At 41.2% G+C, this 25,984-nt stretch overlaps 1 protein-coding gene across 21 annotated transcripts in view, besides 1 other annotated feature; it reads left to right on the top strand.

Annotated features, from left to right (window-relative positions):
• ME3 (malic enzyme 3) overlaps positions 1 to 25,984 on the top strand; it is a 237,687-nt gene that overhangs the window by 63,132 nt on the left and 148,571 nt on the right. The gene's annotated exons all lie outside the window — the stretch shown is intronic.
• Positions 14,472 to 14,672: a silencer, noted in NCBI's record as "peak1376 fragment used in MPRA reporter construct". NCBI's record gives its function as "represses an SCP1 promoter by STARR-seq MPRAs in K562 erythroleukemia cells {active_cell/tissue: K562}" and the evidence as "EXISTENCE:reporter gene assay evidence [ECO:0000049][PMID:32103011]".

The raw sequence follows: 25,984 nt of genomic DNA, 5'->3' as shown, positions 1-25,984 counted from the left end.
ATTCATTTGGCACCCAGTATAGGCAGTGTACAGGTCTAGGTGACAGGATGCAAAGATTAAATGGCACAGGCTATCTCCCAGAGCTTTTTCTGCTCTGGAAGACATACTCAGGACACATGTAGTCAGAATCATGGTCATTTCAGAGGGTAAGGGACTTGGTTTTCACTGAATATTCATGATGGACCAGGCACTGTATATACACTGTCAATCAACCACACATTAATGGCACCACTTACTACTTGGGTACCTGGGACTACTCATTAATCTTGCTGAGTCCTGCACCTCTGATGAGAAAGCACTATTTTATTGTGTTTAAGAGAATAAACCTGAGTTCAAATCCAGGCATCACTACATGTCAGCTGCATGACCTTGTATGAAGGATTTAACTTCTCTAAGTTCTTGCTTCCTGGTCTGTAAAATGGTGCTAACTATAGAATCTATCTAAAAGGGATTTATGAAGATTACATGAGAAAAATGCCAGTAAAGTGTTTACACAGTGCCTGACACATAAGAGCTCAATCATTGGTGGCTATAATCACGATCATGTCAATTGTTATCCATTATCCAAAAAAATACGTGCCTTTTTAGAAGTAAGTATATCTGGGAAGTCATTATGGAATTTTTACTTTCTTCATTGCACCAAGACTTACCAGTGAATTATCTTATATACCAGTTAATTATCTGATATACCAGTTACTACCTCTTCTATATGAATGCATATTCACAATGTATTTCATCTCAGCCTTACTGTATTTAGAGAATAGTAAAGTTTTACTTTATTTTTAATTTTTTCAACCAACAGATTTTGCTCTAATTAACAGAAAGAACCGATAACTCCTTGTATTCATCTTGACTGCCCTCTGGACATGGGCAGGTTTCCAAGCCCACAAGTTCTGCCAGCAGCTGCACACTTTAACCTCTAGAGGGAGCTGAGAGGGAATTTGAGTCCATTGCTCTGACTGAGCAAAACGGCATTTAAATTACACCTGAAAACATCACTATCCACTATTGAGAGTGCATCCTCAGAGAAAAATCCTGGGATCATTTCCCCGAATCGATTCAACATTGCCCAGATTGCTTCCATCTCATGCATACTTTGTTTTAGTAGAAATGGGCTTCATTACAGAGTGGTCTCCAGCTCCCCATAGTGGCCCCTCCTAGTAATTTTTTCTAAATTAAGCAAGCGTGCGTGGACTCAAGAGGTACACGGCAGTATTTCTTGGCTGCTTCTTTCTCCCTCTGCAAGAAACAGGAATAACATTTCATAAATAATGAGCTGCAGCTGAACTTTAATCTGCTAGATCCATTTAAAAATGTTTGGAACCTTCCCTGTCTCTCTAAGAATTACCTTCTGGATTTTTCTGGCTTTGTTTTTTGGTTTCTTTTGCATTGTAACCTTATATTAAGGAGTATGCTGCTTATGTTTAAATTAATCAATTCTGAAATAAAATGTATTTACTTTCTCCCCAAACAGTAGCCTGGTGCCAAGCATGTGGGAAATACCTCATAGGTACTTCTGGCACCCAGGGGAGACATGGCATGATCTGTGTCCCAACATGCCAGAAAGAATGATTCCAGGGCCCCATTCTGTTTCTGAAGGTCAAAAGGCAGATAAGTGCCCCCCCAATATCTGAAGGTCTATCATGTCGAACGGGGAGTAGGCGTATTCTGCATGGCTCCAGAGTCCGACCAAGGACGTATAAGAGAGTTCACTGCGAGATCAACTTTTGCTCAATGTAAAATATGTGTATATAATATATATATATATATATTTCTTTTAAAAAAAACACCGACTTCCCTATCTCTAGATGTGATCTATTGGAAGCTGAAAAAAAACAACAAAAACCATCTATCAAAGAGATTGCAGAAGGGAGTGGGAAGTACCTTCCCTCTTAAGTCCCCTCCCACTCTAAGATTCTGCAAGACTTTACAGGAAGGACTTACTCTCCTAGTTTGCCTTTTTTCTGATGATATTCACCAGGCTCTATTTGGATATTTTCCCCTGAAGTTTAAAAAAAAAAAAAAAAAAAAACTATGCCTCTCAACTCATTGTATGTATATGGGGCTATGAATCAGAGAGGAAGAAATGACCACCAATGAGTATGGTGGGAAAAGGGAGGGAGAAAGGGGTTAGGGAAAATTTTGCATGCCTGAGAACATTGAAGGATGAGAGGAGTTAAAGTTCAGCCCCGCCAGTATGTCTGAAATATCCCAGTTACAGCCAGGATATCCCAAATAAGAAGTAGCACCATCACATTTGCAAGTTAGAAAGATCACTCAGAGGAGAGAACAGATTGGTAGATTTCTTCATGGCTGTGAATGTGTTAAGTTGATGGAATTGTTTCAGGAAGCAGTGCTGCACTTAGTCATAAACTCAGCTATGAAAATAAGCCTGTACCTCTATCCAGATCAACAACAGTGACAACAACAACAATAACAAAACCCACAATGTGTCAATGAAAATCAGGCTGTTGGTTTACAAGAAATGTAACTCTATCTCCTCCTGTTGGTGCTTGTTGTTGGTTTTCAGGAAAAGCCTAGTTTGGCATTGAATCCTGAATGAATTTGCTGAAAACAGCAACCTCACATATTTACATTTGTTTCTCCTGGTGACACATGGATTAGAAAAAGAAGTAGGAATGATTAAAACAGGAAGGGTAAGCATTAGTTAACCCACAGCCAGATTTTCAAGACAAATAACATCTAAATCAATACCAATCAACCAACCAAAGACACCACATCCCTCCACTGAAATTCCTCCACTTTTCTGTACTGGGAGAGTTATAAGCACCATGGACTATTGGTCACTTCCCAGTATGCAATGAAGGATTTTCCCATTATGCCCATGTAAGAACATGAGTCCTGATCAGCATCTGGTGAACATCACTCACTGGGGTTGTCAGAAATATTTTGGAAGACTGTCAAGCTCATGGGGCCAAGGGGGATACCTGGTGGAATGTGAGAGCACTAAAAGGGCCCTGAAAACAGCTTCGCTGCAGGCAGACCACTAATTGATTCTTTAGGGTCAGGGCCAGTGTTCTGAGTGGCACTTGTGTGTGTGGCTCTAAGTGGCCAGAGACGCACCCATCTCTCTGCTGTCCACAACAGACTACCCTGATGAGGCACGTCCCTGAGATATTTCCCCAACTGCAGCTCAGCACAGTATGGCAAAGGCCCAGGAGGGAAATAGTGTACATGGAGCCAGGTATGTGACCATCACAGGTGACCTCTCCGAGCCTCAGTATTCTCATTTATAAAATTAATCCTCATCCAACTTACAAAATTGCTGTCACAATCCCATTATATAGTAGAGATCAATGGATAAATTGACCATTGCTATGTAAGGGTCACATGATATTGTTGTTATTCTCAAGTAAGCTGTGGTAGCTTTGGGGAGGGAGGAGGGGTGGAGTCTTCTCTCTGCAACACAGGGTGAACTCCCAGATACTTCACTAGAAGGGATGCACACAGCCTCCAGAAGCTTTTAGAAAATGGCTGTAGTGGAGAAATAGTCAGATTTTTCTGGGCACTTGTGGGAGGCCCATGGGACTTGGGGTGAGGTTGGGGGTAGGCAAACTTAGAGAACAGAAAATAATTGAAAGAGTGTCCTGGAGGCAGGGGTTTAAAGTGGAAAAAAAACTGGTGTTTGGAATGAGGCTGTCTGGGTTTGAGCTCTAACCCTCCCCCTCTGACTGTATGACTCAGGGAAGTTAGTTGTCCATTCCATCTGTAAAATGGGTGTGATTTTTAAAAAATCTATTTTAAAGGGTTGTTACAAAGATTTTAAATAACGTTAAACAGAGCCTAAAATAAAAAACTTCAATGATTAATGACTATTTTAAGGATCATTGACTTCGATGTAATTCAACAAAAAATACTTGTTCATACAGAAAATGCCAGGTCATAGATTGTCATGGCTAGAAGGCACTCTGAATACATGAGATAGCTAATGTCCAAACAGACTGGCCTTATGCTAAATTAAGCAGTTTTTGGTGGCAAAGCTGAGCCCCCAGCAAAAGTCTTCTAAAACCAGAATAATTTTTTCAATATGACACCTCTAAAATGCTTTTCAGGACCAATACCTGGTCACAGGTTCTTAAGTCAAAGTCCCCATGACTCAGAAGCACATCCAGCCTTCTAATTGTGAACAGCATGTGCAGATGCCCTGAGGAGGAACCGGTGGCATAGGTTGGAAATCATATTGGCACAGTAGGCCTGGGGTCTTGACTATCAGCAAATGAATGGATAAATAATTTGCAGTATGTATATACAATAGAATATTAATCAGGCATAAAAAGCAATGAAGTACTGATACATGATACAACATGGATGAACCTCAAAAACATTGTGTTAAGTGAAAGAAGCTGTACATAAAAATTCACATACGTTATGATTCCGTTTGTATGAAATATCCAGAATAGTGAAATCTATAGAGACAGAAAGACTGGTGATTGCTCAGAGCTTAGGGAATAGGAGAAATGGGGAGCAACTGCTTAATGAGTGGTGCATTTCTTTTTAGGGTAATAAAAATATTTTGGAACTAGATAGAGGTGGTGATTGAAACCATTGTGAATGCACTAAATGTTATTAAATCATTCACTTTAAAATGGTTAATTTTAAATTAAAACATATAAGATACAATGGATTAATTCAACTTAACTTACTGTAACTAATAATTTTCTTAACTGTCTATTAAGACGTAATTTCTAACCTAGAAGTTTGTCTACTCAAACTACTGTGTCAGCTGCCTCCCAAATTACTCACACTTTCTATACCTCAGTTCCCTGATCTATAAAATGAAAATAATAATATCTGCCTCATTAATTTGTTGAGAAGACTAAATTGAGTTATAGATATAAACCTATGTAAAGCTATTTACATTTATATCATTTTATATGCTTATTTATGTTTACTGTATTTCATTTATAAATTCTCTACCTTTATCCAGTTTTCAGTTGTTTCTCAACAGAACAAGCAGTTATAACATGTAGGGAGCAATGGTTATATGGATGGAGGGAATCTTTTTGTTCTTTTTTTTCTTGTAAGAGACAACCCTATGTAGTGTAAACCAAAAATAAAATTTGAAGCCCTCCACCTCACCCCACAACCATCTGAATGGACTCCCTCCTTAACCAGGGCATTCTAAAATTTAACCTGAAAGACTGGTTCATGACCCGACAGGAAATGGGGGCTGGACATGCCCCATTTTGCCCCTCCAGCTTTAACACCAACACAGACCTTAAACCTAATAAGAAACATTTACAGCCTGTTCTCTCTGAAGTCTGGAGGCTTCATCTGCATGATGAAACTTTGGTCTCTACAACTTCTTATCACAACCCAGACACTCCTATCTATTGACAACTTTTTTTTTTTAACTTTTTTTTTTATTATTATACTTTAAGTTTTAGGGTACATGTGCACAATGTGCCAGTTACTTACATATGTATACATGTGCCACGTTGGTGTGCTGCACCCATTAACTCATCATTTAGCATTAGGCATATCTCCTAATGCTATCCCTCCCCCCTCCCCCCACCCCACAACAGTCCCCAGAGTGTGATTTTCCCCTTCCTGTGTCCATGTGTTCTCATTGTTCAATTCCCATCTATGAGTGAGAACATGCGGTGCTTGGTTTTTTGTCCTTGTGATAGTTTACTGAGAATGATGATTTCCAGTTTCATCCATGCCCCTACAAAGGACATGAACACATCATTTTTTATGGCTGCATAGTATTCCATGGTGTATATGTGCCACATTTTCTTAATCTAGTCTATCATTGTTGGACATTTGGGTTGGTTCCAAGTCTTTGCTATTGTGAATAGTGCCGCAATAAACATATGTATGCATGTGTCTTTATAGCAGCATGATTTATAGTCCTTTGGGTATATACCCAGTAATGGGATGGCTGGGTCAAATGGTATTTCTAGTTCTAGATCCCTGAGGAATCGCCACACTGTCTTCCACAGGGGTTGAACTAGTTTACAGTCCCACCGTGTAAAAGTGTTCCTATTTCTCCACATCCTCTCCAGCACTTGTTGTTTCCTGACTTTTTAATGATTGCCATTCTAACTGGTGTGAGATGGTATCTCATTGTGGTTTTGATTTGCATTTCTCTGATGGCTAGTGATGATGAGCATTTTTTCATGTGTCTTTTGGCTGCATAAATGTCTTCTTTTGAGAAGTGTCTGTTCATATCCTTTGCCCACTTTTTGATGGGGTTGTTTGTTTTTTTCTTGTAAATTTGTTTGAGTTCATTGTAGATTCTGGATATTAGCCCTTTGTCAGATGAGTAGGTTGCGAAAATTTTCTCCCATTTTGTAGGCTGCCTGTTCACTCTGATGGTAGTTTCTTTTGCTGTGCTGAAGCTCTTTAGTTTAATTAGATACCACTTGTCAATTTTAGCTTTTGTTGCCATTGCTTTTGGTGTTTTAGACATGAAGTCCTTGCCCATGCCTATGTCCTGAAGTAATGCCTAGGTTTTCTTCTAGGGTTTTTATGGTTTTAGGTCTAACGTTTAAGTCTTTAATCCACCTTGAATTAATTTTTGTATAAGGTGTAAGGAAAGGATCCAGTTTCAGCTTTCTACATATGGCTAGCCAGTTTTCCCAGCACCATTTATTAAATAGGGAATCCTTTCCCCATTGCTTGTTTTTCTCAGGTTTGTCAAAGATCAGATAGTTGTAGATATGTGGCGTTATTTCTGAGTGCTCTGTTCTGTTCCATTGGTCTATATCTCTGTTTTGGTTCCCATGCTGTTTTGGTTACTGTAGCCTTGCAGTATAGTTTGAAGTCAGGTAGTGTGATGCCTCCAGCTTTGTTCTTTTGGCTTAGGATTGACTTACTGATGCGGGCTCTTTTTTGGTTCCATATGAACTTTAAAGTAGTTTTTTCCAATTCTCTGAAGAAAGTCATTGGTAGCTTGATGGGGATGGCATTGAATCTATAAATTACCTTGGGCAGTATGGCCATTTTCACGATATTGATTCTTCCTACCCATGAGCATAGAATGTTCTTCCATTTGTTTGTATCCTCTTTTATTTCATTGAGCAGTGGTTTGTAGTTCTCCTTGAAGAGGTCCTTCTTGTCCCTTGTAAGTTGGATTCATAAGTATTTTATTCTCTTTGAAGCAACTGTGAATGGGAGTTGACTCACGATTTGGCTCTCTGTTTGTCTGTTATTGGTGTATAAGAATGCTTGTGATTTTTGTACATTGATTTTGTATCCTGAGACTTTGCAGAAGTTGCCTATCAGCTTAAGGAGATTTTGGGCTGAGACAATGGGGTTTTCTAGATATACAATCATGTCATCTGCAAACAGGGACAATTTGACTTCCTCTTTTCCTAACCGAATACCCTTTATTTCCTTCTCCTGCCTAATTGCCCTGGCCAGAACTTCCAACACTATGTTGAATAGGAGTGGTGAGAGAGGGCATCCCTGTCTTGTGCCAGTTTTCAAAGGGAATGCTTCCAGTTTTTGCCCATTCAGTATGATATTGGCTGTGGGTTTGTCATAGATAGCTCTTATTATTTTGAGATACGTCCCATCAATACCTAATTTATTGAGAGTTTTTAGCATGAAGCGTTGTTGAATTTTGTCAAAGGCCTTTTCTGCATCTATTGAGATAATCATGTGGTTTTTGTCTTTGGTTCTGTTTATATGCTGGATTACATTTATTTATTGGTGTATATTGAACCAGCCTTGCATCCCAGGGATGAAGCCCACTTGATCATGGTGGATAAGCTTTTTGATGTGCTGCTGGATTCACTTTGCCAGTATTTTATTGAGGATTTTTGCATCAATGTTCATCAAGGATATCGGTCTAAAATTCTCTTTTTTGGTTGTGTCTCTGCCCGGCTTTGGTATCAGGATGATGCTGGCCTCATAAAATGAGTTAGGGAGGATTCTCTCTTTTTCTATTGATTGGAATAGTTTCAGAAGGAATGGTACCAGTTCCTCCTTGTACCTCTGGTAGAATTCGGCTGTGAATCCATCTGGTCCTGGACTCTTTTTGGTTGGTGAGCTAGTGATTATTGCCACAATTTCAGAGCCTGTTATTGGTCTATTCAGAGATTCAACTTCTTCCTGGTTTAGTCTTGGGAGGGTGTATGTGTCCAGGAATTTATCCATTTCTTCTACCTTTTCTAGTTTATTTGCGTAGAGGTGTTTGTAGTATCCTCTGATGGTAGTTTGTATTTCTGTGGGATTGGTGGTGATATCCCCTTTATCATTTTTTATTGCATCTATTTGATTCTTCTCTCTTTTTTTCTTTATTAGTCTTGCTAGCAGTCTATCAATTTTGTTGATCCTTTCAAAAAACCAGCTCCTGGATTCATTAATTTTTTGAAGGGTTTTTTGTGTCTCTATTTCCTTCAGTTCTGCTCTGATTTTAGTTATTTCTTGCCTTCTGCTAGCTTTTGAATGTGTTTGCTCTTCCTTTTCTAGTTCTTTTCATTGTGATGTTAGGGTGTCAATTTTGGATCTTTCCTGCTTTCTCTTGTGGGCATTTAGTGCTATAAATTTCCCTCTACACACTGCTTTGAATGTGTCCCAGAGATTCTGGTATGTTGTGTCTTTGTTCTCATTGGTTTCAAAGAACATCTTTATTTCTGCCTTCATTTCGTTGTGTACCCAGTAGTCATTCAGGAGCAGGTTGTTCAGTTTCCATGTAGTTGAGTGGTTTTGAGTGAGTTTCTTAATCCTGAGTTCTAGTTTGATTGCACTGTGGTCTGAGAGACAGTTTGTTATAATTTCTGATCTTTTACATTTGCTGAGGAGAGCTTTACTTCCAACTATGTGGTCAATTTTGGAATAGGTGTGGTGTAGTGCTGAAAAAAATGTATATTCTGTTGATTTGGGGTGGAGAGTTCTGTAGATGTCTATTAGGTCCGCTTGGTGCAGAGCTGAGTTCAATTCCTGGGTATCCTTGTTAACTTTCTGTCTCGTTCATCTGTCTAATGTTGACAGTGGGGTGTTAAAGTCTCCCATTATTATTGTGTGGGAGTCTAAGTCTCTTTGTAGGTCACTCAGGACTTGCTTTATGAATCTGGGTGCTCCTGTATTGGGTGCATATATATTTAGGATATTTAGCTCTTCTTGTTGAATTGATCCCTTCACCATTATGTAATGGCCTTCTTTGTCTCTTTTGATCTTTGTTGGTTTAGAGTCTGTTTTATCAGAGACTAGGATTGCAACCCCTGCCTTTTTTGTTTTCCATTTGCTTGATAGATCTTCCTCCATCCTTTTATTTTGAGCCTATGTGTGTCTCTGCACGTGAGATGGGTTTCCTGAATACAGCACACTGATGGGTCTTGACTCTTTATCCAATTTGCCAGTCTGTGTCTTTTAATTGGAGCATTTAGTCCATTTACATTTAAAGCTAATATTGTTATGTGTGAATTTGATCCTGTCATTATGATGTTAGCTGGTTATTTATTTTGCTCATTAGTTGATGCAGTTTCTTCCTAATCTTGATAGTCTTTACATTTTGGCATGATTTTGCAGTGGCTGGTACCAGTTGTGCCTTTCCATGTTTAGTGCTTCCTTCAGGAGCTCTTTTAGGGCAGGCTTGGTGGTGACAAAATCTCTCAGCATTTGCTTGTCTGTAAAGGATTTTATTTCTCCACTTATGAAGCTTAGTTTGGCTGGATATGAAATTCTGGGTTGAAAATTCTTTTCTTTAAGAATGTTGAATATTGGCCCCCACTCTCTTCTGGCTTGTAGAGTTTCTGCCAAGAGATCCGCTGTCAGTCTGATGGGCTTCCCTTTGTGGGTAACCTGGCCTTTCTCTCTGGCTGCCCTTAACATTTTTTCCTTCATTTCAACTTTGGTGAATCTGACAATCATGTGTCTTGGAGTTGTTCTTCTCAAGGAGTATCTTTGTGGTGTTCTCTGTATTTCCTGAATCTGAATGTTGGCCTGCCTTGCTAGATTGGGGAAGTTGTCCTGGATAATAACCTGCAGAGTGTTTTCCAACTTGTTTCCATTCTCCCCGTCACTTTCAGGTACACCAATCAGATGCAGATTTGGTCTTTTCAGATAGTCCCATATTTCTTGGAGGCTTTGTTCGTTTCTTTTTATTCTTTTTTCTCTAAACTTCCCTTCTCGCTTCATTTCATTCATTTCATCTTCCATCACTGATATCCTTTCTTCCAGTTGATTGCATCGGCTCCAGAGGCTTCTGCCTTCTTCACGTAGTTCTCGAGCCTTGGCTTTCAGCTTCATCAGCTCCTTTAAGCACTTCTCTGTATCGGTTATTCTAGTTATACATTCGTCTAAATTTTTTTCAATGTTTTCAACTTCTTTGCCTTTGGTTTGAATTTCCTCCTGTAGCTCAGAGTAGTTTGATCGTCTGAAGCCTTCTTCTCTCAACTCGTCAAAGTCATTCTCCGTCCAGCTTTGTTCCGCTGCTGGTGAGGAACTGCGTTCCTTTGGAGGAGGAGAGGCACTCTGCTTTTTAGAGTTTCCAGTTTTTCTGCTCTGTTTTTTCCCCATCTTTGTGGTTTTATCTACTTTTTGTCTTTGATGATGGTGATGTACAGATGGGGTTTTGGTGTGGATGCCCTTTCTGTTCGTTAGTTTTCCTTCTAACAGACAGGACCCTCACCTGCAGGTCTGTTGGAGTTTGCTAGAGGTCCACTCCAGACCCTGTTTGCCTGGGTATCAGCAGCGGTGTCTGCAGAACTGTGGATTTTCGTGATCCGCGAATGCTGCTGTCTGATAGTTCCTCTGGAAGTTTTGTCTCAGAGGAGTACCTGGCCGCGTGAGGTGTTAGTCTGCCCCTACTGGGGGGTGCCTCCCAGTTAGGCTGCTTGGGGGTCGGGGTCAGAGACCCACTTAAGGAGGCAGTCTTCCCATTCTCAGATCTCCAGCTGCATGCTGGGAGAACCACTGCTCTCCTCAAAGCTGTCAGACAGGGACATTTAAGTCTGCAGAGGTTACTGCTGTCTTTTTGTTTGTCTGTGCCCTGCCCCCAGAGGTGGAGTCTACAGAGGCAGGCAGGCCTCCTTGAGCTGTGGTGGGCTCCACCCAGTTTGAGCTTCCTGGCTGCTTCGTTTACCTAAGCGAGTCTGGGCAATGGCGGGTGCCCCTCCCCCAGCCTTGCTGCTGCCTTGCAGTTTGATCTTAGACTGCTGTGCTAGCAATGAGCGAGACTCCGTGGGCGTAGGACCCTCCAAGCCAGGTGCGGGATATAATCTCCTGGTGTGCCATTTCCTAAGCCCGTCGGAAAAGCGCAGTATTCGGGTGCGAATGGCCCGATTTTCCAGATGCCATTCTCTCACCCCTTTCCTTGACCAGGAAAGGGAACTCCCTGACCCCTTGCACTTCCCGAGTGAGGCACTGCCTTGCCCTGCTTCGGCTGGCGCATGGTGCACTGCACCCACTGTCCTGCGCCCACTGTCTGGCACTCCCTAGTGAGATGAACCCAGTACCTCAGATGGAAATGCAGAAATCACCCATCTTCTGCATGGCTCATGCTGGGAGCTGTAGACCAGAACTGTTCCTATTCGGCCATCTTGGCTCCTCCCTACTGATAACTCTTTCAACCAATTGCCAGTTAAAAACATTTTAAATCTGCCTATAGACTTAGACATGAGACATCAATCAAATACATTTAAGATATGATAACCTTAAGGTTAATGTATCTTAAATGTATTTGATTGATGTATCATGTCTCCCTAGAATGTATAAAACCAAGCTGTACCCCAACCACTTTGGTCACATGTTGTGAGGATCTCCTGAGGGCCCTGTCACGGGCCGTGGTCACTCATATTTGGCTCGAAATAAATCTCTTCAAATATTTTAAAGAATTTGACTCTTTTTGCCAATAGTAGCAAGATATACTTTCTTGCTCAAAGGCATTTCCCACGTAGGTATTAACAGGTAAAAAGTCATGCTGTGTCTAAAGCTGCACATGCTCCAGAGAGCATACTTCACAGAGGTGGGGTGAGGTGGACAAGGAGCTGACAACAGGCTTGTTCCCAAAGACTTCTAGTGTTTCTCCTTCCCTTTCCAACAACAAGATGTGTGGTTGTCATGGTTTCTACTTCCTCTAAAAGTCCTTTGACCAAAAATAGTCACATGGCCCCAGTCCAGCTACAAGGGAGATGTGTGGAAGTATATGGACTAATTGTTAAGCTGCTAACTGTCTCTATCACATTGCTCGGGGATACTGTAAGGAACTCTGGGCCAGAAGCTCACTGCTGGTTCTGCCGTGACCTTGGAACGTGTTCCTTGGAACTGAGCTCCAGATTTTCATTCCAGGTCCCTGGGGCCCCTGCGACCACATCCCTGCCTTGGCAATGCACCTTAGTTCTTATGAAGTGGAGTCCTGCTGCTGAAATGTCATTCGCAAGTCTGGGACCCTGTTACCTGTTATTACCTAATCTGCTTACAGCACTTCCATGACCTTATGTCAGATTTCCTGCTCTGCCTGTGCCATCTGTCTAACCAGGGCCTCTGTCTTTTGCTGGACTTCTCAGCCAGACTTTTTCCAGCTGCCTGTTGTCAGAGGCTTCCCTCTATGACCTGCTTTCCTTTGCTGAATTTGACTGTTCTCCACAACCTGGTCCACTTTGGTTTGGCCCATCCCATCATCATCTATGACCTGGTTCTGACAGGGAAAATGGAAAATATAAAGAAAAAAGAGGGAAAATTACAGAAAAGGAGAGCAGAAGGGAAGCCAAGTGATATAATGAGTTACACATAGAATAAGGTTCAAGTCTAACCCTTGCAACTTCTTACCTACATGACCTTGGCCAAGTCATTGAATCTTTCTGAAATTTCAGTTTCTTTATCTATAATGTGAAAGAGGTAGCCTAGGTGATCCTTAAGGTCCCTTCCAGCCCTAACACCTCATGATTCTACATGAAGGTGAGAAGCCTTCTTAAAGTCTCAAGGGCTCCTTTGAGAGTAAGGGAGAAGGAGGTCAAGATATAAGCACTGATCAGGAAGTAATTTTGGCAGAATTTTGAGTGAGAACTACTTAGGAGTATCCAGTACTCCTGGTTAAACATTTTCCTGGGCTTCACTGAAAAAGCCTGAAACCTGTACTTTGAAAATAGAGGAAGGGGACAGTTAGCTTTAATTAGATTTCATCTGACCATGATGAAAGTATTAAAATTGTACAAGTAGGATATTTACAGGGCACTTTACATTCTGCCCATTTTTTTCACTAGTCAAAAGAGACTGAAATTCAGTATGTTCTCAAATTAGCTAAAGAAAACCCTTGTCAAAGACCCCTCAATCCATCTGGTTATCATTATTAAAGCATTATGGGGTATGTATGCTTTCCATTGGAAAAAAATGAATAATCCCTTCAAATATGTAATTTCATAGGTTTTGAAATACGAAGGCAACCGTTAAGGGAACTATCAAAGCAGTCTGAAGTACAGTGTGAGTTGTCAAGGGAAAAATATAAAAGAATTTTTAATAACTGAAAGTTCAACAAATTCTAATGCCAAAGCCTGGGATTGTGGGAACACTTGTTGGAATTTCTAAAGACTGTTGTTTAGTGCATGGAGGCATCTGAACCCAGAAGGTAAATTCTGAAACACCTGGACCATATTAGAGTGTCTGGGGCCGAGAAGGTATGGTGAGGGGCCCACCCAGAGGTGCCCTCTAACACAACTTCTTTCCCCATAACAGCATACCTGGGAGCTTCTGTTCTTCTGGCTGTGGCATTTTGTTTCAAGAGCACTGCACCCTGTGCCAGCCTTGCCTCTTACACATCAACCCATATGCAGAAGCATTTCCCCTTAAGTAGAGTGTAGTAGAAATAGTGAGGGCCTGGAGTCAGGCAGATCTTGAGCTAGATCCCAGTTCTCCACACTTCCCCTCATGATCTTTGTGACCTTGAGCCAGCACAGTGCCTGGTTCATAGGAGACACTCAATCAATCCTTCTTACCTGACCTTTCAAACCAGGGCACGCGCTTACTCGATCTGATTGTCAGTTTGCTTCTTATAGGATAGTGTTTAAGAGCACAGACTCTAAAGGCAGACTAATTGGGATCAGATCCTGGCTTTATAAGTACTTAACTCTCTAAGCTTCAGTCTCTTCATCTGTCAAATGGAGATAATGCTAGTATTTACCTTATAAGTCAATTATGGTTACATGAGTCAAAGTGCCTGGACCAGTGACTGATACATAATAAGCTCTCTCTCTCTCTCTCTCTCTCTCTATATATATATATATGTATATGTATATATATGTAAAATAGAGTATTCTGAAAATTTCTAACATGTGATAAACAATCCAAAAATATTAAACACATATTTTTACCTATTTTATTTCTTTATTTATATTTTATTTACTTATTTTTATATTTCCATACATATGCTTATCCCCTTTTTCTTATTATTAGCCCTTGTCAAAGTCCTCAACATCCTCTAAAGGCCTCTATTAAAAAAGAGCAAAACTCCCTTCTATTGTGAATGCTCTATAGTTGACCAGGAGCTTTCATGAAAGAGCCTCATTTGAATCTGACCTTACCACCCCTGCAGAGTCCCCACCTGGCTTGTCCTAGCTCATCCCCCACAGAAGCCTAGCATTTCACTGGAGAAACTCATTGCTGACTCAGTCCCCAGACATATCAGGCCCTAACAAGGCACTGATTTGTCATCATTATTTTTTGCTACCTTCAAGGGCTACCTTGCAAAGTATCAGAGGCATTTCCACTCTTGCCATCCCTGCTTTGGGACTGGGATTATTTTCTCACTGCAGGCAGGAAAAATCTTTTGAAATTTCACATTTGGAGAGCAGACTTTGTTTCGTTTTTTTGTTTTTTTGTGTTTTTTTGTATTGTTTTTTGAGAAAGGGTCTTGCTGTGTCAGTGGTGCAATCACAGCTCACTGCAGCGTTGACCTCTCGGGCTCAAGTGATCTTCCCATCTCAGCCTCCCAAGTAGCTGGGCTATAAGCATGCATCACCACACCTGGCTGATTTTTTTATTATTATTTTGTAGAGATGGGGTGTTTTTATGTTGCCCAGGTTGGTCTCAAACACCTGGGCTCAAGTGCTTCACCCACCTTGGCCTCCCAAAGTGCTGGGATTATAGCTGTGAGTCATTATGCCCAGCTAGGAGACCAACTTTGGATGATAACTTAAATGTCTCTTCAATGTACTTGTATTTTATGATGAGGTGAATATATGGAGGTAGAGAGCAAAGGAGAAAAATCTCTAAGGAATGCAATATTTTTATTAAGTGTTATAAATTAGCAACAATTTTAAATCATAATACTCAGCATTGGTGAAAATGTAGTAAGACAGCTACTTATGTACTGGAGTTATAAAATAGTTCGACCTTTCTAAAAGTGATTTGACAGTATGCGTACAGATACTTAAAACTGTTGATATCTCTAGAATGTAAGTTTCATGAAGGCAGGGATATCTTGTCTGTTTTTTTACTTTGTTTCCTTATTACTGTATCGTCAGTTTATAATGGTATCCAGTACCTAGTCGGTGCTTATTAAATATTTGTTGAATGAAAGAATGAGTCATCAGTCTCTTAAGTACACTTATAGTTCAATCTGAAGAAAAATCAGAAACAAAAAGTTTTGTGCTCATTACAGCATAATTCATAATTGTGGAAGTTTGGAAACAATTATATAAAACAGGAATTACTAGATAAAGCTTGCTGTGTTTTTCTGTTTTTTAATAACATTTTAGGCTGAAGTTTTAGTATGTGGGAAAATGCTAATCATAACATTTTTAGTGGGGAAAAAAGACTAAAAAATTTTATACATAGTATGATCTCAAGTTTGTTTAAATAAAATTTTTTTAAGCATAGAAAAAAGATAGGAAGAAAATAGAACAAAATGATACAGTGGCTATCTCTGGGTGATGAAAATAAGGTGTGGTTATTTTTTTCCAACTTTTCTGTGCGTAATATTACTTTCAAACTTGGGAGAAAATGTATCAGAAAATTCCTATTGAACTTAGGGAGATGGAGGTCGGGCTTGTGATCCAGTTCTGCAACTTACTGGTTGTATGCTGAAGTTCTGGAGCCTTTGTGGGGCTCATATGATATATGTGAAAGTATTGTTTTACGAAATATTAAACATGCAACCCAAGTAGGAAATGATAGCTGTTGCTGTCCTTACTATTCTTGCAGCATGTGACACCTTTCGAGAAAGTATTCAAAGCATCATGAGATCCTTTTATGACAGGTGTTAAAATTCCAACAGGTTAGGAATGACATTGTCACTTCCTGGAGGGGGAGCCTACAGTTTCGTGTTGTACGGTGCCTGGTATGTTGCAGGCAGTAGCTAACTTTTACTATGTGAGTGAAGGAGGGTGGAGGAAATCATGGGTCTTCCACATTCATTTGTCAGGGTAACAGTGAACTATAACCCTGGCATACAGAAATGAGTCATTTTCCTGGCAGTGAGCCAAGGCCACAGTCATCTCCAGGAAGCTTCTTTGTTCTCTTTTCATACCCAGTCATGCTGAAACCTTGTAACCCCATGCAGAGGGGTCTGCATTTCACCAGGTTAATAGATAAGGGAGCTGAGGCCTATGGAAGGTTAAATAACTGGCTCACAGTCACACACTTAGTAACCCATGGAGCCAGGACTCAAATGCAGGTGTGTTTGATGCCTGCGTTCTGTGCTCTCCCCCATCACTGTGCCCCTTTCTGAAGGAGTGACTAGGTGGTATATTCCCCAAATCTTGCTAAGTTTGGGGGTTCCTGGGATATTCCAGACTGAGCTGTTTTAATTTCTTCTGTTGTTGCTAGTCAGAAACAAGGAAAACTTGACATCTCTAAATCTGAGTGGGAATTGGGTAAAATGCTCCTTTGTTGCTGGCTTAAGTAGTAACCCTTAGATAAAGGGTTTAATTTCAGATCTGGAGACTGACCTAGTTGCATCCAGCAATTGTCTATGAAAACCTTGCCTTCTCACTGGTTACAATGAGATTCCCAAACACTGTCTCTATGTTTACCTAATTAAACTCACACTTCTCTCCCCTCAGATGTAGTAATGAAGTCACTGTGGCTAGAGGAACATGGGTTTTGTGAAGTGCTCCTTGACATTTGCTTCCTTGAAGATGGATTCCATTTACATTATTCTTCCAAGTGGTATTTTGTCAACAAAGCTCAATAGTCATTTGAGTTTAAATAGCCTATTTCCCCCCCTCAAGGCCTAAGAAACTGGCTTTGAGCAAGTGGTGAGAGCTGAGTTATTGGGAACTTTGTGAAGCAATTGTCTGGTGCTTTAGAAAAAAAAGCAGCAGCCTGGATGTTATAACCCAGGGACATTCTTGTTCAAGTGATTGAATTCCCAACACACCTGGCCATCATTGTCACAGTGCCCATGTCTGTAATGATTAAGTAGGTTAGTGGAGAAGCTGGACTAGCTGGAACAATTAGAACAAAGAATGTGGTCCCAGTTCTCAGGTGGTGACTTTTTTCTCTTAGACCAGACAGGCTTGGACTTCACGTGAGATTTTCTTCATAGGAAGTGTATTAGTTTGCTCAGGCTCCCATAACAAAACACTGCAGACTAGGTGGCTTAAACAATAGAAATTTATTTTCTCACAGTTCTGGACTCTAGATGTCTGATATGGTTTGGCTGTGTCCCCACCCAAATCTCATCTTGAATTCCCACGTGTTGTGGGAGAGACTCGGTGGGAGGTAATTGAGTCACAGGAGCAGGTCTTTCCCATGCTGTTCTCATGAAAGCAAATAAGTCTCACGAGATCTGATGATTTTAAAAAAGGGGAGTTTCCCCACAGAAACTCTGTTTGCCTGTTGCCATCCACATAAAATGCGACTTGCTCCTCCTTGCCTTTTGCCTTGTGAGGCCTCCCCAGCCATGTGGAACTGTAAGTCCATTAAACCTCTTTATTTTGTAAATTGCCCAGTCTTGGGTATATCTTTATTAGCAGCATGAGAACAGAGTAATACAATCTCCAAGATCAAGATACTGACAGGTTTGGTTTCTCCTGAAACCTCTCTCCTTCGCTTACAGATGGCCACCTTCCTGCTGTGACCTCACATGATCCTTGTCCCTCTGTCTGTGTTGTCTGTGTTCTAATCTCCTCTTGCTATGACACCCATCATATTGGATTTGGGTCCACCCTAACAACCCCATTTTAATGCCACTGCCTTTTTAAATGACTTATCTTTAAATACAATCATATTGTGAGGTACTAGGGGCAAGCACTTCATCTCATGAATTTTGGGAGGACCCAATTCAGCCCATAACAGGGGCCTGTGGAAAATCCAGATAAAGCAGTATTGCTATATTCCAAACTCTAAGGGCTGATGTCAGCAACTCCTCCAACTCCTCCAACTCCTCCAGTGCTTTGGCAGCTAATCTGACCCCTACAAAAGGAAAAATATCTTATTGACCCTTAGGATTCCAGTATAAATGCCAAAGCAGTGCTTAGGAACATAAATGGAAGCAGCTCTAGCCCACTCACTAGGTTTGAAACATCCAGGCTTGCATGTCTTCTGCCTTCCCCCCATCGCCCAACACACAAGAAGGAATAGTATCTTGCTTTCTCTCCCTCTGAAATGTACCTTGAATCTATGTTTTCACCTCTACTCCATTTGCACTGGTAGAGCATCTTCTTCCTTCACGTGAACTATGGCAGCAGCCTTATTACTGCCTCATAGTGCTAGTGGGCTCATCAAAGGGAAAATTGGAACAATCCTTGCCTGCTTGATGTCCTTTGCCATTGCCTTCAGTAAAATTAGCTGTTTCTTAGCATGGCACAGGAGGCCATGCTTTAAAACCTTCAGTGGCTCCCCACTGCCTCCAGAGTAACGTAATTAACAAAGCTTTCAGGACCCATGTCATTCTGGTCTGACCTACCCCTCCAGCTTCCCTGCCTGATGCACAGCTGTCCTATCAGCCTCACCTCCCAGGTGGCACAGCACCCAAATCTCCTCTGCCTTGAGGTGCTCTGTGGCTGGTGCCTCCATGCCTGTCCTACTTCCCTTCTCCTGCCTCCAGCTTTGAAAGCAACTGTCCAAAGTTAAAGCCTAATTGAAAAGGTACTTTTCTGTGAAGCTTTCCCCACTGCTCCTCCCAGCCCGCAGGGAGATCTATTCTCTCCTTTCTCTGCAGTCCCATAGCACGTGACACATTTCTGTGTCTGTTCTTATCTTGAATTGTATCATTCTCTTAACCTTGCTTTCTCACTGGGATGTGAGCTCCTTAACAAAGGCACTCTCTCTTTCTCATGTCCGTATCTTCAGTGCCACAGTTAGCCCCACATAGTAGATGCTGAGTAGATAGGTGCAACGTAAGTAGATAGATGAAGTCATGGAAGTCTCTGCATGGCCACGCTGCTGTGGGATTGTTGGGTTGTCTAATAATGTCCTTTGCAAACTTGAGTAACAAACTCCCCTTTGATACTGTCTATGACCAACTCATCTGTGGCAACGCTTTAGTCCTCCGTGGGCCAAGTCTCTTCCCTGGTTTGGGACAGTCAGCAGAAGAGATATAAAGTGCTGAGTAAGTTATATTAAAATTAGATGTGAGAAAACAGAGCTGGGGATAGAGGCTAAAAACACTACTCACCTCAAAAGTCCCACACCCCATCACTGTGATGTGGAACAGCACACACTTAAGAACACCAGGACATGCAGGTGCCAAGTAGCAGCAGCTTGGCTGTTGGAGCTCTGGACCAAGGAGAACATGTTGTGGATATTTACAAGTAAGATCCCTTATTTATGTCATTCTTCATCAGAATAAGATGCAGAAACGTTTTCCAATAGTGGTCAAAAGCAGAAGCCATGCAAGTACTTGCCCATCACAGAAAACATCCCAGTTGGAAGAGACCTAAGTGGGGGAAAAAAATCTAGCCCAATAATTTTTTCAAATAGTTCTCTTGGCCACAGAATCTTTTATTAAAACATACAAAATAGGAAGACCAATGTCTAAGACAGATGAGTATCATGAAAGCTGGATTAAACCACAGTTGGGGAAGTAAGACAGGCCTCTGTTTCCTGACATGCCTTTTCCCACTCCCCACTTGACACCTCTGTGGAATCTCAGAGGATATGCTAGAGTCTTAATGTCCTTGATTGCTATCTCCTAATCAAGTTGGGGACTGATATTCATTCATTCATTCATCATTCATTCATTCATTCATATATTCTCTCTCTTTCTTTCTCCCTCTCCCTCCCCCAACCCTACCCCCATTTATTTAGCTCCTACTACAAGCCAGGCACTAAGGTAAAAATAAATGAAACATAGTACCTGCCCTGAGGAAACCTAAGAGTTTAAATGGGGAGACAGACTTGTAAACAAACACTTGCAGTAAATCTGACAAATATTTTTAGAGCTCTAGGGCTGTGCAGGTGGCAGCAAGTTTACCAAGAAAGGAAAGGGCAGTTGATTCTCCAGTCTGCACCCAAAATAAGGCTGCCTGGATTCCCAGGCCAATGAGATTTCTTCCCAACCCCACTGCTGCTAAAGGAATAAAAGAGGAAGCTTTTCTATTAAGGGCCTTCGAGCTCAGCCGTTATCCCCAGTGGTGCAGAGTGCATGGAGCAGGCCCTGGGAGGTGAGGGAGGGCAGGGGGAGGAAATCTCTCTCAAGCATTGGGGACACACAGCTGCCACCTCACAATGAGCAGGGCCAGCCCCTCAGCACAACTCTTTTGTCTCAGGCTCTGGGGAGTTAGGAAAGGCATTGTGCCCAGAGATCTTTAAATAATGTTGTCACCCATGAGTAAACCTTAGGGAAACCCAGGCTTTCTTTCACTAGAAATGAATTGAGCCCATTAACAGGGGAAAGGGCCCTCCCCTGCCCTTCATACTTCAGTGGATGGACAGGTTATGGAGTGGGTTAGGCCTCTCCATTCAGTAGCCACATTCCAAGGCTCCACTTGAGGCTGCTGTTTTTCCTTCACAGCCTAAGTCCTGAAACAATGGCTCATCCTCCAGCTTGCTGTGTTGCCCTTTCTGCTCTAGTAAGCCAAACGTATTGGGGTTGAAATATGGCGTTTTCTATGGGGTCTCCTTTGACTTAGGAGCCTTGGTAGGACATGAATTTAGTCACCTTGCCATAGTTTCCCCAGTGCATCATCTATATTTGTGTGAGCCTGAGATAGTCCCCACTTACAGTGTGAGAGCCCCAGAAAATTAGTTAAGTAATTAATGTGTGTTAGCAAACAGCTTGTTATATTACTTGTTATATTATTGTTATTACTTGTTGTATTACTTTGACTGAGAGAACTTAAGAACAGAAGGGGACTAATGGGTATTAGAGGTGTATTCTGAACCAGACATTGTTGCCAGGCTTTCTACACTATGATACTGCCAATTAATTGTGAAACTATTTGTCTCTCTCTCCCTCTGGTCTGTAAGCTCCAGGAGGGCAAGACTGTGCCTATCTTGTTCATGCCACAGCTTAGCTCCTAGTACAATGCCTGGCACATAGTAAGGCATACAATTAATATGATGCATAAATACACAAAGGACTTTGTATGATCTTCTGGTGACCTTGTGGAATTAGTATTATTAGCCCATTTTACAGATGAGAAAATTGAGGTTCTAAGAAGTTGAGTAACTTGCTTAAGGCCATACATCCAGACATTAACTGAGACAGTATTAATCCAGGACTTTCAAACAGAACTCTTATTTATATTTGAGCCAGAAGGCACTCATTTTTGGCAGTGGAACAGAAAAAAGAAGGAAATCCTTTATTTTCCATTGTTCTAAAAGTAACTCAATTTGTTCTGTTATCTTTTTAAATGAGAGAGACCGGTTATTCTCCCTTAGTTACAGTAATTTTATGTCCTACCAGTTTTCTCTCTAGCTAGGTGGGGAGGATGCTTGCTCACACAAACCGTGAATGACGGCTTTTTCTACTGTCTTTCTTTTGAAGTGTGATTCTGACTGGAAAAATAAAAACATTTGGAGGAAAGGAGGAAGGTGTGGGCTACAGTAGTCATGAAGGGCTTTACTCCAGGGGCAAGACTCGAGTTAGGCCTCAGGGATGAGTAAAATTTACCCAGAGGGTTGGACATCACAGCAACCATGTGAGCACAGCACGGTGGGGCATGAGGAAAGCGAAGAGACCCACCCATCTGGAACAGTGACAATCACATCTTGCCACTGCTTAAAAGCCCATCCCTAAGCCACAAGGCTCCCCAGCTGGAAACCAAAGCTCTCCTTGACCTGGGCCTGCCTGCATCATGCCTGCCCAGGCCTGATGAAAATGGTCTCAGGGAAAGACCTCCTCCTTTACCACTGGTCCTCTGGGATTCTGCAGAGCAGCCATGCTGAAGCAAACTGCACTGGCCTCAAGCCAAATGCCTCCTGGGCCTCCGCATCTTTGTGCCTGCTGATTCTTCTACCTGGATGCTTTTCTCCTCCTCTGCCCATCAGCAGAACTTCTACTTGATCTCAGCTCAACTAAGACCTCCTTTACAAAACCTTACCATCTACCTCCTTTGTAACCCTAAGCATTAGTCCCATTCTTCACACTCCTGACTCATTCTTTATTTTCATCTATTTCTCTGACAGACTTTCAGATCTGCACATCCTTGCCACTTCCATTCTCCACCCCATTTTACTTGGCTTTCAGGAACACGTTTCCCTTATATCTTCAGTTCTTTTCACAAGTTCTATCCAACTCTGTCTATCAACTAAAACCTACCCTTACCCTGAGTGACTGCTTCATCCAAACCCCTCTCATATGGAGGTTGCTTATTATTTCACTCTTCGGCTCCCAAGTCAGGACACAGCTAGGTATCCTTTCTTTCCCTAAAACCATTTTCAGAGCTGTTTTCCCCCATCCTTTTATTTAAAAAAACAGCTACCACCACAACAAAATCTGTTTCTCTGCTCCTATTTGAAGAGTTGGGCCATTTAGAGATATTGAACTTTTGTCCTTTTCATCACTGTCATTTACCACCTTTCAATTATTGAGGACTTTGGCACCAGCTTATAGACCTTCTCCACCCAGTCTTGCCATAACCCTGGGTGACTTCAGCATCAATATGTTGGCTTCTCCAACACCCTAGTCTTGGCTAACTGGAATACCTGTCCTCAGCTTCTCCCAGAGTCACACCCTGGACCTCGGCATCTTGTGAAATTCCACCATGTCAGAAATCAGTGATTCTAACAACACACTGTCAACCAGAGATGCTGCCGGGTCAGCTGTCCCCTCGGACCCCACCACAGTCTCCAATCCTACTCAGTTCTCCACTTCACATTTTTCCATTCACTTTTTCCAGCCATTGCTCCTACCCACTAACCTAATCCAACCCAGCTTGGGTTCCACAGGCAATCATTCCCACTTTTCCTGACAACACCATAAACTGTTTGCCCCTATACCTGGAAGTGAGGATTCCATCCCATCAGCATTTAAACATGCTCAAATATCTCCACCTTAAACCACCCCCTTTAGTAGCCAAGCTTTTTGAAAAAGTTTTGTGCATTTGCTGTTTCCATTTTGTCACAACTTTCCTCAAACCACTCCAGTATAACTCCATCAACTCTTCACTGGGTTACGAAGAACCTCCACTTTTCCAAATCCAGTAGATCGTTTTCAGTCATCCTAATGATTTGACCTTTCAGAGAAACTCAGCAGTGTTGGTCACGCCTTCCTTCCTGAAACACATCCTCCTTTGTCACCTGGTGACAACCCATCTTGTGGTTCTCCTTCTTTCTTTCCGCTGTCCCATCTCAGTCTCCTCCTTTATCCAGCCTTAAAAAGCTGGAGCTTCTCAAAGCTCAAGCCAGGCTCTGTTTTTGCTCTAAGCTCTCTCCATAGAGTAATACATACAACCCCATTATCGTTTCAATTGCCATCTTTTTGCTCATCATTTTCAACTTAATTCTTTACCCTCTAAGACCCAGACTTATAGATATGGAACTGTCCACTAACACCTCCAGATAAATGTCTCAAAGGAAAACTCAATGTATATAAAGTAAAACTTGAGATGAGCTCCTCTCCTTCCACTCCCACCCAAAACCAGTCCTGGTCTTCATCATTAGTGTCCCATTTCAGTGAACACCACAACCATTCATCCAGTTGTGATGGCAGTGATCCTTGACCCCTCTCTCTCACTCAACCCCCAAATCTCATCTATCACCAGATCCTGTGCATTTTTTCTCCCCCATGTATCTCTTATCCTCCTGCTTCTCTCCAGCTGCATTCCACCATCCTAGCACAAGCTACCATTGCCTCTTAACTGGACCATTGCAGGAAACTTCTAATTTATCAGCACATTCTTGGACCCTTCCAAAAATTCTCCTCACTGCAGCCAAAATGATCTTTTCTAAAGAACACAGATTTAATTATGCCTCTTCTGTTTAAAACTTTCAGTAGTTTCTCATTGCCCTGAAGCTGAAAACCTAAGTCCTCAGCAAAGTCACCTACACACTGCACAGTCTTGGTCCTGTCTGTGCACCTTCCCTTTTCCAAGCCTTGAACGTGGTGTTTCTTTGCCTAGAAAGCTGCTCAACACCACCCCTACCCCGAGCACCACCACTTGGCCTAATTAACTCTTTTTTGTTGTTATGTTTGAAGATGTATTATTAGTCTTTATCACAGTTTTTTTCACTGTGGTGAGAACATTTGCCATGAGCTCTACCCTCTTAACACATTTTTAAGTGTATAATATGGTATTGTTATCTGCAGACACAATGTTATATAGCAGATCTCTAGAACTTCATTTTTCATAACTGAAATCGTATACCCATTGATTAGAAACTTCCCATTTCCTCCTACCTCTAATCCCTGGAAACCACCATTTTATTATTTGCTTCTATGAGTAGGATTATTTTAGATACCTCATGTAAGTGGAATCAGGCAGTATTTGTCCTTCTGTGACTGGCTCATTGTGTTTAGCATAATGTCCTCAAGATTCATCCATATTGTTGTATATTGCAGGCATTCCATATTTTTAAGGCTGAATAATATTCCATTTTATGTATATGCCCTTTTATCCTCCATTTATCTGTCAAGGGACATTTAGATCCTTTCTACATCTTGGCTATTGTGAATAGTGCTAATACCTCTTTGAGATTTTGATTTTAATTATTCTGGGTAAATACTCAGAAGTGGCATTGCTGGATCATATGGTAGTTCCATTTTTAAATTTTCAAGGAACCTCCATACTGTTTTCCATGGTGGTTACACCATTTTACACTCCCATCAGCAGTGTACAAGGGTTCCATTTTTTCCATAGCCTCACCAATACTTGTTACCTTTTGTTTTTTTGATAATATCCACTCTAACAGAGGTGAGGTAATAACACATTGTGGTTTTAATTTGCATTTCCCTAATGATTAGTGATGTTGAGCATCTTTTCATATACCTGTTGGATATTTGTGTCTTTTCTGGGAACATGTCTATTCAGGTCCTTAGCCCATTTTACAATCAGGTTATTGGAGGGGGTTGCCATTGAGTTGTAAGAGTTCCTTATATATTTTGGAAATTAACTCCTTATCAAATATATGATTTCCAAATACTTTTTCCCATTCTGTAGGTTGCCTTTTCACTCTGTGGATTGTTTTCTTTGCTGTGCAGAGGCATTTTAGTTTGATACAGTCCCACTTGTTTATTTTTACTGTTTTTGCCTGTGCTTTTGATATTGTATCTATAAAATCATTGCCAAGTCCAATGTCATAAAGTTTTTCCCCTATGTTTTCTTCTAGGAGTTTTATAGTTTCAGGTCTTACATTTTACATCTGTAATCCATTTTTCAATATAAGATAAGGGTTAATTTCATTATTTTACATGTGGATATACAGTTTTCTCAATACCATTGTTGAAGACAATTAACTCTTTATTTATCTGTCATATCTCATTTTGGATATTGCTTCCTCAGGGAAGTCTCTTCTAATCACATACCATTCCCAACACAAAGAAAATGACATCAGGACTCCTGGGGTTCCTTATGTCCTTTAACAGCATCCACTGCACCTGCTTTGTAGTATTTCTTCGAATGAATTAATTAATTGGGTGATTATTTATTTAATAGCTGTCTTTACTATTAGAAAATGAACCTTTGTTTTT

The sequence above is a fragment of the Homo sapiens genome, chromosome 11 (genome assembly GCF_000001405.40).
Source record: "Homo sapiens chromosome 11, GRCh38.p14 Primary Assembly".
Lineage (NCBI taxonomy): Eukaryota > Metazoa > Chordata > Mammalia > Primates > Hominidae > Homo > Homo sapiens.
The sequence above is the reverse complement of the archived record's forward strand: the minus strand, read 5'-3'. Positions and strand labels throughout refer to the sequence as shown.